The 17,687-nt window shown below is 37.5% G+C and overlaps 1 protein-coding gene across 53 annotated transcripts in view; it reads left to right on the plus strand.

The window, feature by feature from the left end:
* ERC1 (ELKS/RAB6-interacting/CAST family member 1) overlaps positions 1-17,687 on the plus strand; it is a 505,975-nt gene that overhangs the window by 83,098 nt on the left and 405,190 nt on the right. For 52 of the 53 annotated variants that reach the window (NR_027948.3, NR_027946.3, XR_001748631.3 and 49 more), the window contains one exon: positions 10,108-10,524. The exons of the other annotated variant lie outside the window; for it this stretch is intronic. Coding sequence is in view for 49 of the 52 variants with exons in the window: in XM_047428566.1 (XP_047284522.1) it covers positions 10,108-10,524 (417 nt within the window). In the remaining 3 variants the exon portion in view is untranslated. The remainder of the gene's footprint in view (positions 1-10,107; positions 10,525-17,687) is intronic. 53 annotated transcript variants of the gene reach the window in all.

Consider the following 17,687-nt stretch of genomic DNA (forward strand, 5'->3'; position numbering starts at 1 on the left):
TTTGGGAGGCTGAAGCGGGTAGATCATGAGGTCAAGAGATCGAGACCATCCTGGCCAATATGGTGAAACCTCGTCTCTACTAAAAATACAAAAATTAGCTAGGCATGGTGGCTGTGCACTTGTAGTCCCAGCTACTTGGGAGGCTGAGGCAGGAGAATGGCTTGAACCCAGAAGACGGAGGTTGCAGTGAGCTGAGATCACGCCACTGCACTCCAGCCTAGCGACAGAGCAAGACTCCTTCTCAAAAAAAAATTTAAAAAAATGTTTTTTTCAGCAATGTGTGGAAAATATACACAAGATATAAGACCAATAAAATGCTACTGTCTAGGAGATGAGGTGCCTCATACCTGAATCCAGCACCAAGGTGGGCGGATAACCTGAGGTCAGGAGTTTGAGACCAGCCTGGCCAGCATGGCAAAACTCCATCTCTACTAAAAATACAAAAATTAGGGGGTGGTGGCGTACACCTGTAATCCCAGCCACTTGGGAGGCTGAGGCACGAGAATGGCTTGAACTCTGAAGGCGGAGGTTGCAGTGAGCCGAGATCACACCACTGCATTCCAGCCTGGGCGACAGAGCGAGACTCTGTCTCAAAACAGAAGGGACTTGGAAATAAAAACAGCTAACAACAAAAACCCGTAACATAGTCATTTATTATCATTATCAAGTATTATGTACTGTATATAATTGTATGTACCACACTTTTATATGACTGTCAACGCATTAGGTTTATTTACACTAACATCATTGCAAACACATGGGTAAGGCATGTGTTACAACATTATGATGGCTATGACCAATGTGATAGGAATTCCCCACCCTCCCACCCGAGACGGAGTCTTGCTGTGTCGCTAGGCTGGAGTGCAGTGGCATGATCTCCACTCACTGCAACCTCCGCCTCCCGGATAAGCGATTCTCCTGCCTTAGCCTCCTGAGTAGCTGGGATTACAGGCACGCACCACTACACCCAGCTAATTTTTGCATTTTTAGTAGAGACGGCTTTCACCATGATGGCCAGGATGGTCTTGATCTCTTGACCTCGTGATCTGCCCGCCTCTGCCTTCCAAAGTGCTGGGATTACAGGTGTGAGCCACCATGCCTGGCCTGTGATAGGAATTTTTTAGCTCCATTGTAATGTTATGGGACCACCATGATACATGCAGTCTCTTGTTGACTGAAACGTCATGTGGTGTATATAGAATGCATTTATGACAGTAGGACTTACCCATTTTGATAGTGTTTTCATTTATTCCTTTTTCTTTTTTTTCCGAGACAGAGCTTTGCTCTGTCACCCAGGCTGGAGTGCAGTGGCGTGATCTTGGCATCCTCCAACTCCTGGGTGCAAGCGATTTTCCTGCCTCAGCCTCCCGAATAGCTGGGATTATAGGATGCCACCATGTCCAGCTAAGGTTCGTAGTTTTAGAGATGGGGTTTCACCATGTTGGTCAAACTGGTCTCAAACTCCCCCACCCCAAGTGATCTACCCACTTTGGCCTCCCAGAGTGCTGGGATTACAGGCATGAGCCACTGCACCCGACCACATTTTCATTTATTCTTTAACTTCTATTCTGGGTTGTGGTAGCATAAAGATGGATTATGTTTATTGCTGAAATAAACCTGTTGTCCAAATTTTGATGTTTTCCAGCCATTATCTTGCTACTTAGATTTATGTACAGCATTCGCAGAGCAAAAAGATAGATGATCTTATTTTTCCTGGATTCAGAGGCAGAGAGTAGTTGTTAGAATTCTAGTGTAATTGCTCATTCATTTTCTTGACTCTGACATCTTTTTTTAGAGGAAAATAACTTTGGTTAGTAAGCTCCAAATAATGGGTGAGAATGTTAAACAATTTAATCCATCCCTTTGAGTTCTAGTGCGGGTCTTTTTTGCATTTTGGTGAGTCTCCTGCTTGTGTTTAGATTAGTCTGAAAACTTTGATTTGGTTTAATATTTGAGGGCTTTCAGTGTGCTTTGCTGTACAGGAAATAAATCTCTGTCATTAACTCAAAGAATACTAAACTAACAATAAGGAGGAGTAAATTACCTTGGAGGCTCTTCCCCTGTCTCATTCTCTGTGGTTCAGACTCATTAAATTAGTTTCTTCTTTTAAAATGTTTCTTCTTTTAAAATTATGGAAATTAGAATTCAGTTGACGTTTGTACAAAGTGGGGTTATATCTGTGTATAAGTTTTGACACCCCCCAAATTTAACTATTAATAGCCTACTGTTGACCAGGGGCCTGATAACATAGTTGATTAACACATATTTTGTATGTTATATGTTAACATGTATTTTATGTATATACTGCATTCTTTAAAGCAAGCTAGAGAAAAGAAAATGTTATTAAGAAAATTGTCTGGGTGTGGTGCCTCATGCCTGTAATCCCAGCTCTTTGGGAGGCCGAGGCTGGTGGATCACACGGTTAAGAGATCAAGACCATCCCGGCCAATATGGTGAAACCCCGTCTCTACTAAAAATACAAACATTAGCCAGGCGTGGTGGTGCTCACCTGTAATCCCTGCTACTCTGGAGGCAGAGGCAGGAGAATCGTTTGAACCTGGGAGGCGGAGGTTGCAGTGAGCTGAGATTGTGCCATTGCACTCCAGCCTGGGCAACAAAAGTGCACTCCATTGCACTCCATCTCTTGGAAACAGAGCAAGACTGTCTCGGGGGAAAAGAAAAAAAAAGAAAATCACAAGGAAGAGAAAATACACTTACTATTCATTAAGTAGAAGTGGACCATCACGAAGATCTTCATCCTCATCATTTTTGTTTTGAGTAGGCTGAGGAAGAGGAAGAAGAAAAGGGATTGGTATTGCTGTCTCAGATTTGGCAGAGGCAGAAGAAAATCCATGTGTCAGCAGACCCTCAAAGTTCAAACCTGTGTGGTACAAGGGTCAACTGTACTTTGTTTTCATAGAGATATATTAAAGTTTTATGAGTTTAGCTCATAGTGATCTTATAGGTTCTAAGCTTCATTTGAATATATTGCATGTAAAATAAATGCTTTATCTGTGTTCCTTTTGTCTTTCTTGAATATTGTTGTTAATTTAAAATTTGTAATAGGTTATAACTCTTATGTTTTACCCATTTGTGAGCTTTATTTTTGGATAAGAACTTTATCCTGTACTTTTGCTGTGCTTCGTATAGTACAACTATGAAAGATTCTTGTTGACTGTTGATTATCTGAAAATGCTTCTTTTTGCTTCAGGTCAAATATTGAATAAACCTAGAGCATATAATTAACATTTTTATTAGGACTGTGGTTTGTATTTTGGCCAGTTGGGATTTAAGAATTACTTGTATTGGTTGGTGTAGAACTGATTTTTTTTTTCTTTTTCTTTTTTTTTTTTTTGGAGATGGAGTCTCACTCTGTCGCCCAGGCTGGAGTGCAGTGGCAGGATCTCAGCTCACTGCAACCTCTGCCTCCCCGGTTCTAGCAATTCTCCTGCCTCAGCCCCCTGAGTAGCTGGGTTTACAGGCGCGCACCACCATGCCTGGCTAATTCCTGTATTTTTGGTAGAAACGGGGTTTCACCATGGTGGTCAGGCTGATCTTGAACTCCTGACCTTGTGATCCGCCTGCCTTGGCTTCCCAAAGTGCTGGGATTATAGGCATGAGTGATTTTTTTAGAATAAGAGTAATTGGCTGCATTATTTTTTTAAGGAAGAGGTATAACTTCCCAGATACTTGCAATGCGGCTAATATACAGTAGCCATTTACTTTCAACATAATTTCTCAACATTTAATTTTTGTCAGTTTTTCATAAAAAATTTATGACAGGGTAAAAAGATGACATTCCTAAGTCCTAGAAAGTTTATTGATGATAAATACAAAGAATTAAATTGCAGATCAGTCTTAGAAGTGCTATTCTGTGGATAAGCATACAGCCCTGGGCAGCACAGACGGGAACATCAGATAGCCCAACCAAACCGGAAGCTTGACTTGGTTGACTTAAGAATTCTTTAAAACTCTTTTGCGTGTTACATTAATAAAGTTTATTTAATACATGTATTTATATGTTTCAGAAAAAAATGTTCTTAATTTAACATTTGTAAAAGGGTACAATACTGGTGTTTTCTCTGACTCTGATCTTCTTGATAAACAGTGTACTGAGTTCTCTGTGATATATTTTGTTTGTAATCATGACCATTTCACGTGTCCATAATTTTTTTTCTCTAAAAATATCTCTAGACTACATAGTTCTGTTATTTTAGGAATGAGAATAAACGGGATCAAAGTGTACTCTTGTTCTAAGAAACTAATGACAGTTTATTTGTTGGAAGTTCTGCCTCAGAAGAGCTTCTGATATTTATCTAAAATATATGAATAGTAGTTGTGATCTGTCATTGTTTTTGCAGATATCTAATTGTTGTAATAAAAGTCATAGGCCCTGTCAGATAGTTAAGAATTTTCATTATTGTTGTTCACAATATCCTACCATTTCATTGAGATATAGCTTGGTGTAATAATAGTACAGTCCCTGGAGTAAATTTTAGACAAATACTTTCCCAGCCTTTCAAAATCAAGCTGAGTGTTAGAGTGAGAAGTAGACTAGTGAGTGTTGCTATAAAATTTGGAGTGTGAGATCATTTTGCAGTGTGTCGGGAACAGACTTCCCAAATAGACATTCTAGTATTATCTTACAACTCGATCTTTCCTTAAACTCAATGTATCTGTTTTTGGTTGATCATTATAGATGTCTGTGATGTGTGAATATGCCCATTTTATCTTCTGTATGAATATGCTGGAGAAAGAGTAGCCTTGCTTGTAGTCTGCTTTTTTCCTTCTTCTAAAGGAGTTGGCAGGAATTTTTATAAAATAAAGCTAGCCTGATTGTAGCCAAAAGAGGAAATGTTGGTTTATATTTTAGTGGAGAAAACTGCTGTATAGACTTCTAGGCTACCAAGTCAGAGCATTGTTTTATTTTTATACTATAGTAAAATGGGTGCAGGCGGAGCTGAAGAACCAGACACACTAGTAGTTAATGTTTTCTTTCTTTACCAAAATAGTAATTGCCATGCTACATTTAGCCATATGTGCCAAAGCGTATGTGAAACTGTTAACTGTAGCCAACATATATTTCTCCTGACTTGAATGAATTGATGACGAATGGTCAGAAAAGGAGGAACAGTCATACCTAGAAATCAGCTTCCCTGTTGAATTTCACTTCTGGTATTTCCCTTTGGGATATATTCACTCAGGAGTGTCAGGATTTTTTTTGACTTCCAAGGGAAAGAAACTAGGCTTCAGAGAATTAGCATTTTGATACATCTTTTTATTGAAGGTCTTTTGAACTCCAGCAACTGTTAATCTTTAAAAGATGATGCTGGTAGTGAAATGCATTTTAAAATTTATATTCATGAATTTAAATTCCTGATTTTTTTTTTTTTGGTGAGTTTATTCTTCGAAAGAAATAGCAGTGCTTTTCAAGTGTTTGAAGACTACCAGAATTGAAAGCTCACTGCTTGCTAAAAGCATAATACCCAAACCGGAAATGATAAAGGAAAATGTCATTGTCTTTGTATTAAAAAAGAAAATATCTATTAAAAGTCATCATAAACAATGTTAAAAGAAAAATGGCAGACTTGGAAAAATATTTGTAACATACACAGCAGGTGAAAGGTTATTTTCCTAATATGAAGAGCTCTTAAAATGGATTAAGAAAAAATGTTCAATAACAAAATGGGCAAAGAACAAGGAGAGAGGAGTCACAAAAGTTGATATACAAAGACACAGATAGAAATGATTTGTAATATGACAAAAGTCGATATACAAAGATACATATAGAAATGATTTGTAATATGACAAAAGTCGATATACAAAGATACAGATAGAAATGATTTGTAATATGATAAAAGTCGATATACAAAGATACAGATAGAAATGATTTGTAATATGACAAAAGTCAATATACAAAGATACAGATAGAAATGATTTGTAATATGACAAGTCGATATACAGAGATACAGATAGAAATGATTTGTAATATGACAAAAGTCGATATACAGAGATACATATAGAAATGATTTGTAATATGACAAAAGTCGATATACAGAGATACATATAGAAATGATTTGTAATATGACAAGTCGATATACAGAGATACAGATAGAAATGATTTGTAATATGACAAAAGTCGATATACAGAGATACAGATAGAAATGATTTGTAATAAGACAAAAGTCGATATACAGAGATACAGATAGAAATGATTTGTAATACGACAAGTCGATATACAGAGATACAGATAGAAATGATTTGTAATATGACAAAAGTCGATATACAGAGATACAGATAGAAATGATTTGTAATATGACAAAAGTCGATATACAGAGATACAGATAGAAATGATTTGTAATATGACAAAAGTCGATATACAGAGATACAGATAGAAATGATTTGTAATATGACAAAAGTCGATATACAGAGATACAGATAGAAATGATTTGTAATATGACAAAAGTCGATATACAGAGATACAGATAGAAATGATTTGTAATATGACAAAAGTCGATATACAGAGATACAGATAGAAATGATTTGTAATATGACAAAAGTCGATATACAGAGATACAGATAGAAATGATTTGTAATATGACAAAAGTCGATATACAGAGATACAGATAGAAATGATTTGTAATATGACAAAAGTCGATATACAGAGATATAGACAGAAATGATTTGTAATATGACAAAAGTCGATATACAGAGATACAGATAGAAATGATTTGTAATATGACAAAAGTCGATATACAGAGATACAGATAGAAATGATTTGTAATATGACAAAAGTCGATATACAGAGATACAGATAGAAATGATTTGTAATATGACAAAAGTTGATATACAAAGATACATATAGAAATGATTTGTAATATGTATCAGAATTACAATTGTACATACTTTGTGATCCAGCAATTCCATCTTTGAGAGTTCCCAAGAAAAATGTGGATTCATGTGTAAAGATACATATGTGAAGGTGCATCTTACAATAGTGAAAAATGAGAACTAACCTAAAATATCCGTAAGTGGAATTTTATGACCAACATCTTCTCTCCAACCAATTTTTTTATTATGGTAAAATATATATAACATAAAATTTACCATCTTAACCATTTCGAAGTGTACAGTTTAGTGGCATTCAGTATATCCCATCTATCTCCAGAACTCTTTTCATCTTGACAGACTGAAACTGTATACCCATTAAACAATAACTCCTCGTTCTGTCCCACTCCTATGTCCTGGCAACCACTGTTCTAGTTCCTTCTTTATCAATTCGACTGCTCTAGATACCTCATGTCAATGGATACATATAGTGTTTGTCTTTTTGTGATTGGCTTATTTCACTTAGCACAACGTCTTGAAGGTTCATCTGTGTTGTAGCATGTGTAAGAATTTCTTTCCTTTTTAAGGCTGAAAATCATTAGCAGGTGATATGGTTTGGCTGTGTCTCCATTCAAATCTCAACTGGAATTGTATCTCTCAGAATTCCCACATGTTGTGGGAGGGCCATAGGAGGAGGTAATTGAATCATGGGGGCCAGTCTTTCCCATGCTATTCTCGTGATAGTGAGTAAGTCTCACGAGATCTGATGGGTTTATCAGGGGGTTCCGCTTTTGCTTCTTCCTGATTTTCTCTTGCTGCCGCCATGTAAGAAGTGCCTTTTGCCTCATACCGTGATTCTGAGGCTTCCTCAGCCATGTGGAACTGTAAGTCCAATTAAACAAGTGCCTTTTGCCTCATACCGTGATTCTGAGGCTTCCTTAGCCACGTGGATCTGTAAGTCCAATTAAACCTCTTTTTGTTTCCAGTTTTGGGTATGTCTTTATCAGCAGCGTGAAAACGAACTAATAGAGCAGCCACCTTATTTCCAAAAAAAAAAAAAGATTTTTTCAATGGATAATGCAGGTATTTATACCCTTATTTAAAGTATGAGGGATCTGAAACCCAGAAAGATGGTGACATGTCTAAATGTCATAACTAGTCAGCGTGAGAGTCAGAACTGAAACTCATGTTTTCTCATCACAGTTTCGTGTTCTTCCCAGTATGGTACACTGCTTAGGCCTTGAATACAAGGAATGATCTTTTATTGTTGCTTCTTCATTCCTAAAAATAAGATTTTTGATGTCACAGCCTTTTGGAATTCATTGTATAATGTGCTGGAATTTACATAACCATTCAGATTAAAGGTTCGTGTACCTTCTTTAGGGATAGAAGCTAAAGATCTACCCTCTCAAACATTTTAGTAGTTCATCTGCATTAACACCTTTATTTAATTAGCCACCCATGTTGTTACCGTCCCCTGTATAAAAAGCTTTGCATATTCTAACTTAAAAAAACTTTGCTATATTATTATCTTTGGGTATTACCAGTTTTGATTTCTGCAATCTGCTCTGTTTTTGCTACTAGAGGAGGAAAGCTGATTTGGAGTTTTCTTTTTTTCTTGGTTCTAGTTTTAGTGGGCTGCAAGGATTGCTTTGAATGCCAGCTCTATCACTTACTCTGTGATCTTGGACAAGTGCTTAAACCTCTCTAAGCCTCGTGCCCTCATTTATAAAATTAAATAATAGTACATGTGTTGGGTATCTAAAATAGTCAAATTCACAGAATCAAAGTGTGTAATGGTAGTTGCCGGGGGTAGGGGGAAATGGAGAGTTACTAATCAACAGGAATATAAACTTTTGGTTGAGATGAATAAACTCTACAGATTTGATGTATAACATTGTACCTGTAGTCAGCAGTAATGCATTGTACACTTAAAAGTTGTTAGGAAAGTAGATGTCATGTTAAGGGTTTTTACTACAGTAAAATAAAAAAAGAGTCCATGTGTCATAATGAAGATTAAATAACATAAAAAATGTGTGGTACAATCTGGCATATACAAACTACTTGTTAAATGTTAATATTTATTATTTAATGTTTATAATACTTAAAAGTCATTTTGTATTTCGCTGTCCTTCGGTTTTGCTTGTTTGTTTGTTTGTTTTGACACGGAGCCTTGCTCTGTCACCCAGGCTGGAGTGCAGTGGTGTGATCTTGGCTTACTGCAAACTCCACCTCCCAGTTCAAGCAATTCTTCTGCCTCAGCCTCCTGAGTAGCTGGGATTACAGGTTCGTGCCACCATGCCTGGCTAATTTTTCTATTTTTAGTGGAGACGGGGTTTTACCACGTTGGCCAGGCTGGTCTTGAACTCCTGACCTCGTGATGTGCCCGACTCGGCCTCCCAAAGTGCTAGGATTACAGGCGTGAACCACCGTGCCTGGCCAATTTTTGTATTTTTAGTAGAGATGGGGTTTTATCATGTTGGCCAGGCTGGTCTTGAACTCCTGGTGATCCGCCTGCCTCGGCCTCCCAAAGTGCTGGGATTATAGGTGTGAGCCCCCGCGCCTGGCCATCCTTTGTATTTTTTGATGAAAAAAAAAAATTTTTTTTTTTTTTTTTTTTTTAAGACAGAGTTTCACTCTTGTTGCCCAGGCTGGAGTGCAATGAGTGCAGTCTTGGCTCACTGCAATTCCCACCTCTCAAGTTCAAGCGATTCTCCTGTCTCAGCCTCCCGAGTAGCTCAGATTACAGGCACACGCCACCACGCCCGGCTAACTTTTGTATTTTAGTAGAGACAGGGTTTCATCATATTGGTCAGACTGGTCTTGAACTCCTGACCTCAGCTGATTTGCCCACCTTGGCCTCCCAAAGTGCTGGAATTACACAGGTGTGAGCCACCACGCCCGGCTGTTTTGATGAAATTTTTTGAAAGAATGTATTCATATTCCTGTAGATTTCCCATTTCCCACATTCCCTCAAATTTAGTTTCCGTGTTAATATCTTCTATTAATTTTGAACAGTGTCTTTATTGTAGTTTATGCAAAGTGAGGAGTGAGTGCCATACTTATTTTGCTTCCTGTTGAGAATAAACTGAAGTTAAATTACTGACATTTTGCATATTATCTCAATCATTTTTTAAGGACCTGTAAAACAGAATAAGGTGAATCCTAATTTGCTAGATGCAGATTTCTTGTAGCTATTTTTGATTCCTGCAGGCTGCTCTGATTTGCTACTTGAGGAGGAAAGCTGATTTGGGGGTTTTCTTTTTGTCTTGGTTCTAGCACATGCAGATGACAATCCAGGCTCTCCAGGATGAATTGCGGATCCAGAGGGACCTGAATCAGCTGTTTCAGCAGGATAGTAGCAGCAGGACTGGCGAACCTTGTGTAGCAGAGCTGACAGAGGAGAACTTTCAGAGGCTTCATGCTGAGCATGAGCGGCAGGCCAAAGAGCTGTTTCTTCTTCGAAAGACATTGGAGGAAATGGAGCTGCGTATTGAGACTCAAAAGCAGACCCTAAATGCTCGGGATGAATCCATTAAGAAGCTTCTGGAAATGTTGCAGAGCAAAGGACTTTCTGCCAAGGCTACCGAGGAAGACCATGAGAGAACAAGACGACTGGCAGAGGCAGAGATGCACGTTCATCACCTAGAAAGCCTTTTGGAGCAGAAGGAAAAAGAGAACAGTATGTTGAGAGAGGTATGTGACTACTTTTTTAGTTTTATGATTTGTTGGTTATCTTTTTTTTCACTGATTAATCAGCATCTTGGCCCCAGTGAATCTACGTGCTCTGCCGTGCTGGTGGAAGAGAATTTCATCCTTTGTATTTAAGTGCGTCACTGATTTCTGTTCTGATTTGCCCTGTTGTATGGGATGACATTGTCTGGTATGTATGCTGGCTCAGTGACTTTCTGGGTCTTTTCTCTCCTGCTCCCCTGATTTTGAGAGTTCATTTGTTGCTAAAGGGGTAAAAAATTCCTTGATTTTTCACTCATCTCTAGATCTGTTCATAGAGACAACAAACACAACAAAACCAGAATCAGAATAGCTAACCATTGCTTAATTTAAAAATATTAGTAAAAGAGAGTAAGCGGTTATCTCAGCTTATGTGTGCTTATAAAAGTCCTTGGCAGCAATAATGGATATTTGCCCTGTGGTTTCCATGGAAACTGTTGCCTTGCTGTAAAAGATACGTGATAAAAATCATTGGCTGCCATGGAGGCATAGCTGGAGAGAGTGATGTAGAGACACAGTGTTACTTATTTTTAGCTGACCTAGGTGACTACTGATAATTTTTTACTTTTCTAAATAATGTATCATTTTAAGAAGGCGTAAAGGAAGAAACCATCTTATATTGAATTAAAAAATTAATAGCCATAATAACTTTTCTATATATAGTTGGACTTCAGGTAATTTTCACTTTTGGGCAGGGGAAAATAAATCCCTAATCTGTGTTAGTATGAGTCTGAATAATTCCTTTTTAAATAAAATGTGAGGAAGGAGGTTTAAAAAATGGCGTATTCCCAAAGCAGCAAAATAATAATTTTTAAAAATACTTCTAAATTTGTAGGTTGTTCTATAATTTTTCCTTTTGTAAAAAGTCTGAAATCTTTTTTAACAGTGAGGGCATTTTTATTTTTGAAGTAGAACATCATTGTTTTTTAAAAACATGATGTTATTACACTGGAAATCCATTGTAGTAAAATTGGGAAATAGATTAACAAAAACTTATAACTCAAAGTATTGTTACCTAGTAGTAATTATTAACTTATGTATATGCTTCCAGTCATTTTTTTTTTATTTTAAATTTTTATTGTTTTTATTTTTAGAGATAGGGTCTCACTCTGTCACTCAGGCTGGAGTGCAGTGGCATGATCATGGCTCACTGCAGCCTTGAAATCCTGGGCTTAGGTGAGCCTTCTGCCTTAGCCTCCCTAGTAGGTAGGTCTACAGGTGCATGCCACCATGCATTGTTAATTTTTAAATTAAAAAAAAAATTTTGTAGAGACAGAGTCTCCCTATGTTGCCTAGGCTGGTCTTGAACTCCTGGCCTCAAGCAATCCTCCCTCCTTGGCTTCTGAAAGTGCTGACATTACAGGCAATATGCCTATGCCTGGCCCATTATTATTATTGTTGTTGTTGTTGTTGAAAGTGCTGAGATTACAGGCAATATGCCTATGCCTGGCCCATTATTATTATTATTGTTGTTGTTGTTGAAAGTGCTGAGATTACAGGCAATATGCCTATGCCTGGCCCATTATTATTATTATTGTTGTTGTTGTTGAAAGTGCTGAGATTACAGGCAATATGCCTATGCCTGGCCCATTATTATTATTATTGTTGTTGTTGAAAGTGCTGCGATTACAGGCAATATGCCTATGCCTGGCCCGTTATTATTATTATTGTTGTTGTTGTTGAAAGTGCTGAGATTACAGGCAATATGCCTATGCCTGGCCCATTATTATTATTATTGTTGTTGTTGTTGAAAGTGCTGAGATTACAGGCAATATGCCTATGCCTGGCCCATTATTATTATTATTGTTGTTGTTGAAAGTGCTGAGATTACAGGCAATATGCCTATGCCTGGCCCATTATTATTATTATTATTGTTGTTGTTGTTGAAAGTGCTGAGATTACAGGCAATATGCCTATGCCTGGCCCGTTATTATTATTATTGTTGTTGTTGTTGAAAGTGCTGAGATTACAGGCAATATGCCTATGCCTGGCCCATTATTATTATTATTGTTGTTGTTGTTGAAAGTGCTGAGATTACAGGCAATATGCCTATGCCTGGCCCATTATTATTATTGTTGTTTGTTGTTGTTGAAAGTGCTGAGATTACAGGCAATATGCCTATGCCTGGCCCATTATTATTATTATTGTTGTTGTTGTTGAAAGTGCTGAGATTACAGGCAATATGCCTATGCCTGGCCCATTATTATTATTATTGTTGTTGTTGTTGAAAGTGCTGAGATTACAGGCAATATGCCTATGCCTGGCCCATTATTATTATTATTGTTGTTGTTGAAAGTGCTGAGATTACAGGCAATATGCCTATGCCTGGCCCATTATTATTATTATTGTTGTTGTTGAAAGTGCTGAGATTACAGGCAATATGCCTATGCCTGGCCCATTATTATTATTATTGTTGTTGTTGAAAGTGCTGAGATTACAGGCAATATGCCTATGCCTGGCCCATTATTATTATTATTGTTGTTGTTGAAAGTGCTGAGATTACAGGCAATATGCCTATGCCTGGCCCATTATTATTATTATTGTTGTTGTTGAAAGTGCTGAGATTACAGGCAATATGCCTATGCCTGGCCCATTATTATTATTATTGTTGTTGTTGAAAGTGCTGAGATTACAGGCAATATGCCTATGCCTGGCCCGTTATTATTATTATTGTTGTTGTTGAAAGTGCTGAGATTACAGGCAATATGCCTATGCCTGGCCCGTTATTATTATTATTGTTGTTGTTGAAAGTGCTGAGATTACAGGCAATATGCCTATGCCTGGCCCGTTATTATTATTATTGTTGTTGTTGAAAGTGCTGAGATTACAGGCAATATGCCTATGCCTGGCCCATTATTATTATTATTGTTGTTGTTGAAAGTGCTGAGATTACAGGCAATATGCCTATGCCTGGCCCGTTATTATTATTATTGTTGTTGTTGAAAGTGCTGAGATTACAGGCAATATGCCTATGCCTGGCCCATTATTATTATTATTGTTGTTGTTGAAAGTGCTGAGATTACAGGCAATATGCCTATGCCTGGCCCATTATTATTATTATTGTTGTTGTTGAAAGTGCTGAGATTACAGGCAATATGCCTATGCCTGGCCCATTATTATTATTATTGTTGTTGTTGAAAGTGCTGAGATTACAGGCAATATGCCTATGCCTGGCCCATTATTATTATTATTGTTGTTGTTGAAAGTGCTGAGATTACAGGCAATATGCCTATGCCTGGCCCATTATTATTATTATTGTTGTTGTTGAAAGTGCTGAGATTACAGGCAATATGCCTATGCCTGGCCCATTATTATTATTATTATTGTTGTTGTTGAAAGTGCTGAGATTACAGGCAATATGCCTATGCCTGGCCCATTATTATTATTATTGTTGTTGTTGAAAGTGCTGAGATTACAGGCAATATGCCTATGCCTGGCCCATTATTATTATTATTGTTGTTGTTGAAAGTGCTGAGATTACAGGCAATATGCCTATGCCTGGCCCATTATTATTATTATTGTTGTTGTTGAAAGTGCTGAGATTACAGGCAATATGCCTATGCCTGGCCCATTATTATTATTATTGTTGTTGTTGAAAGTGCTGAGATTACAGGCAATATGCCTATGCCTGGCCCATTATTATTATTATTGTTGTTGTTGAAAGTGCTGAGATTACAGGCAATATGCCTATGCCTGGCCCGTTATTATTATTATTGTTGTTGTTGAAAGTGCTGAGATTACAGGCAATATGCCTATGCCTGGCCCGTTATTATTATTATTGTTGTTGTTGAAAGTGCTGAGATTACAGGCAATATGCCTATGCCTGGCCCATTATTATTATTGTTGTTGTTGTTGAAAGTGCTGAGATTACAGGCAATATGCCTATGCCTGGCCCGTTATTATTATTATTGTTGTTGTTGAAAGTGCTGAGATTACAGGCAATATGCCTATGCCTGGCCCATTATTATTATTATTGTTGTTGTTGAAAGTGCTGAGATTACAGGCAATATGCCTATGCCTGGCCCATTATTATTATTATTGTTGTTGTTGAAAGTGCTGAGATTACAGGCAATATGCCTATGCCTGGCCCATTATTATTATTATTGTTGTTGTTGAAAGTGCTGAGATTACAGGCAATATGCCTATGCCTGGCCCATTATTATTATTATTGTTGTTGTTGTTGAAAGTGCTGAGATTACAGGCAATATGCCTATGCCTGGCCCGTTATTATTATTATTGTTGTTGTTGAAAGTGCTGAGATTACAGGCAATATGCCTATGCCTGGCCCGTTATTATTATTATTGTTGTTGTTGAAAGTGCTGAGATTACAGGCAATATGCCTATGCCTGGCCCATTATTATTATTGTTGTTGTTGTTGAAAGTGCTGAGATTACAGGCAATATGCCTATGCCTGGCCCGTTATTATTATTGTTGTTGTTGTTGAAAGTGCTGAGATTACAGGCAATATGCCTATGCCTGGCCCATTATTATTATTATTGTTGTTGTTGAAAGTGCTGAGATTACAGGCAATATGCCTATGCCTGGCCCATTATTATTATTATTGTTGTTGTTGAAAGTGCTGAGATTACAGGCAATATGCCTATGCCTGGCCCATTATTATTATTATTGTTGTTGTTGAAAGTGCTGAGATTACAGGCAATATGCCTATGCCTGGCCCATTATTATTATTATTGTTGTTGTTGAAAGTGCTGAGATTACAGGCAATATGCCTATGCCTGGCCCATTATTATTATTATTGTTGTTGTTGAAAGTGCTGAGATTACAGGCAATATGCCTATGCCTGGCCCATTATTATTATTATTGTTGTTGTTGAAAGTGCTGAGATTACAGGCAATATGCCTATGCCTGGCCCGTTATTATTATTATTGTTGTTGTTGAAAGTGCTGAGATTACAGGCAATATGCCTATGCCTGGCCCGTTATTATTATTATTGTTGTTGTTGAAAGTGCTGAGATTACAGGCAATATGCCTATGCCTGGCCCGTTATTATTATTATTGTTGTTGTTGAAAGTGCTGAGATTACAGGCAATATGCCTATGCCTGGCCCGTTATTATTATTATTGTTGTTGTTGAAAGTGCTGAGATTACAGGCAATATGCCTATGCCTGGCCCGTTATTATTATTATTGTTGTTGTTGAAAGTGCTGAGATTACAGGCAATATGCCTATGCCTGGCCCGTTATTATTATTATTGTTGTTGTTGAAAGTGCTGAGATTACAGGCAATATGCCTATGCCTGGCCCGTTATTATTATTATTGTTGTTGTTGAAAGTGCTGAGATTACAGGCAATATGCCTATGCCTGGCCCATTATTATTATTATTGTTGTTGTTGAAAGTGCTGAGATTACAGGCAATATGCCTATGCCTGGCCCATTATTATTATTATTGTTGTTGTTGAAAGTGCTGAGATTACAGGCAATATGCCTATGCCTGGCCCATTATTATTATTATTATTGTTGTTGTTGAAAGTGCTGAGATTACAGGCAATATGCCTATGCCTGGCCCATTATTATTATTATTGTTGTTGTTGAAAGTGCTGAGATTACAGGCAATATGCCTATGCCTGGCCCATTATTATTATTATTGTTGTTGTTGAAAGTGCTGAGATTACAGGCAATATGCCTATGCCTGGCCCATTATTATTATTATTGTTGTTGTTGAAAGTGCTGAGATTACAGGCAATATGCCTATGCCTGGCCCATTATTATTATTATTGTTGTTGTTGAAAGTGCTGAGATTACAGGCAATATGCCTATGCCTGGCCCATTATTATTATTATTGTTGTTGTTGAAAGTGCTGAGATTACAGGCAATATGCCTATGCCTGGCCCGTTATTATTATTATTGTTGTTGTTGAAAGTGCTGAGATTACAGGCAATATGCCTATGCCTGGCCCGTTATTATTATTATTGTTGTTGTTGAAAGTGCTGAGATTACAGGCAATATGCCTATGCCTGGCCCGTTATTATTATTATTGTTGTTGTTGAAAGTGCTGAGATTACAGGCAATATGCCTATGCCTGGCCCATTATTATTATTATTGTTGTTGTTGAAAGTGCTGAGATTACAGGCAATATGCCTATGCCTGGCCCATTATTATTATTGTTGTTGTTGTTGAAAGTGCTGAGATTACAGGCAATATGCCTATGCCTGGCCCGTTATTATTATTATTGTTGTTGTTGAAAGTGCTGAGATTACAGGCAATATGCCTATGCCTGGCCCATTATTATTATTATTGTTGTTGTTGAAAGTGCTGAGATTACAGGCAATATGCCTATGCCTGGCCCATTATTATTATTATTGTTGTTGTTGAAAGTGCTGAGATTACAGGCAATATGCCTATGCCTGGCCCATTATTATTATTATTGTTGTTGTTGAAAGTGCTGAGATTACAGGCAATATGCCTATGCCTGGCCCATTATTATTATTATTGTTGTTGTTGAAAGTGCTGAGATTACAGGCAATATGCCTATGCCTGGCCCATTATTATTATTATTGTTGTTGTTGAAAGTGCTGAGATTACAGGCAATATGCCTATGCCTGGCCCATTATTATTATTATTGTTGTTGTTGAAAGTGCTGAGATTACAGGCAATATGCCTATGCCTGGCCCGTTATTATTATTATTGTTGTTGTTGAAAGTGCTGAGATTACAGGCAATATGCCTATGCCTGGCCCGTTATTATTATTATTGTTGTTGTTGAAAGTGCTGAGATTACAGGCAATATGCCTATGCCTGGCCCATTATTATTATTGTTGTTGTTGTTGAAAGTGCTGAGATTACAGGCAATATGCCTATGCCTGGCCCGTTATTATTATTATTGTTGTTGTTGAAAGTGCTGAGATTACAGGCAATATGCCTATGCCTGGCCCATTATTATTATTATTGTTGTTGTTGAAAGTGCTGAGATTACAGGCAATATGCCTATGCCTGGCCCATTATTATTATTATTGTTGTTGTTGAAAGTGCTGAGATTACAGGCAATATGCCTATGCCTGGCCCATTATTATTATTATTGTTGTTGTTGAAAGTGCTGAGATTACAGGCAATATGCCTATGCCTGGCCCATTATTATTATTATTGTTGTTGTTGAAAGTGCTGAGATTAC

Source organism: Homo sapiens, chromosome 12 (assembly GCF_000001405.40).
Source record: "Homo sapiens chromosome 12, GRCh38.p14 Primary Assembly".
NCBI classification, from domain to species: Eukaryota; Metazoa; Chordata; class Mammalia; order Primates; family Hominidae; genus Homo; species Homo sapiens.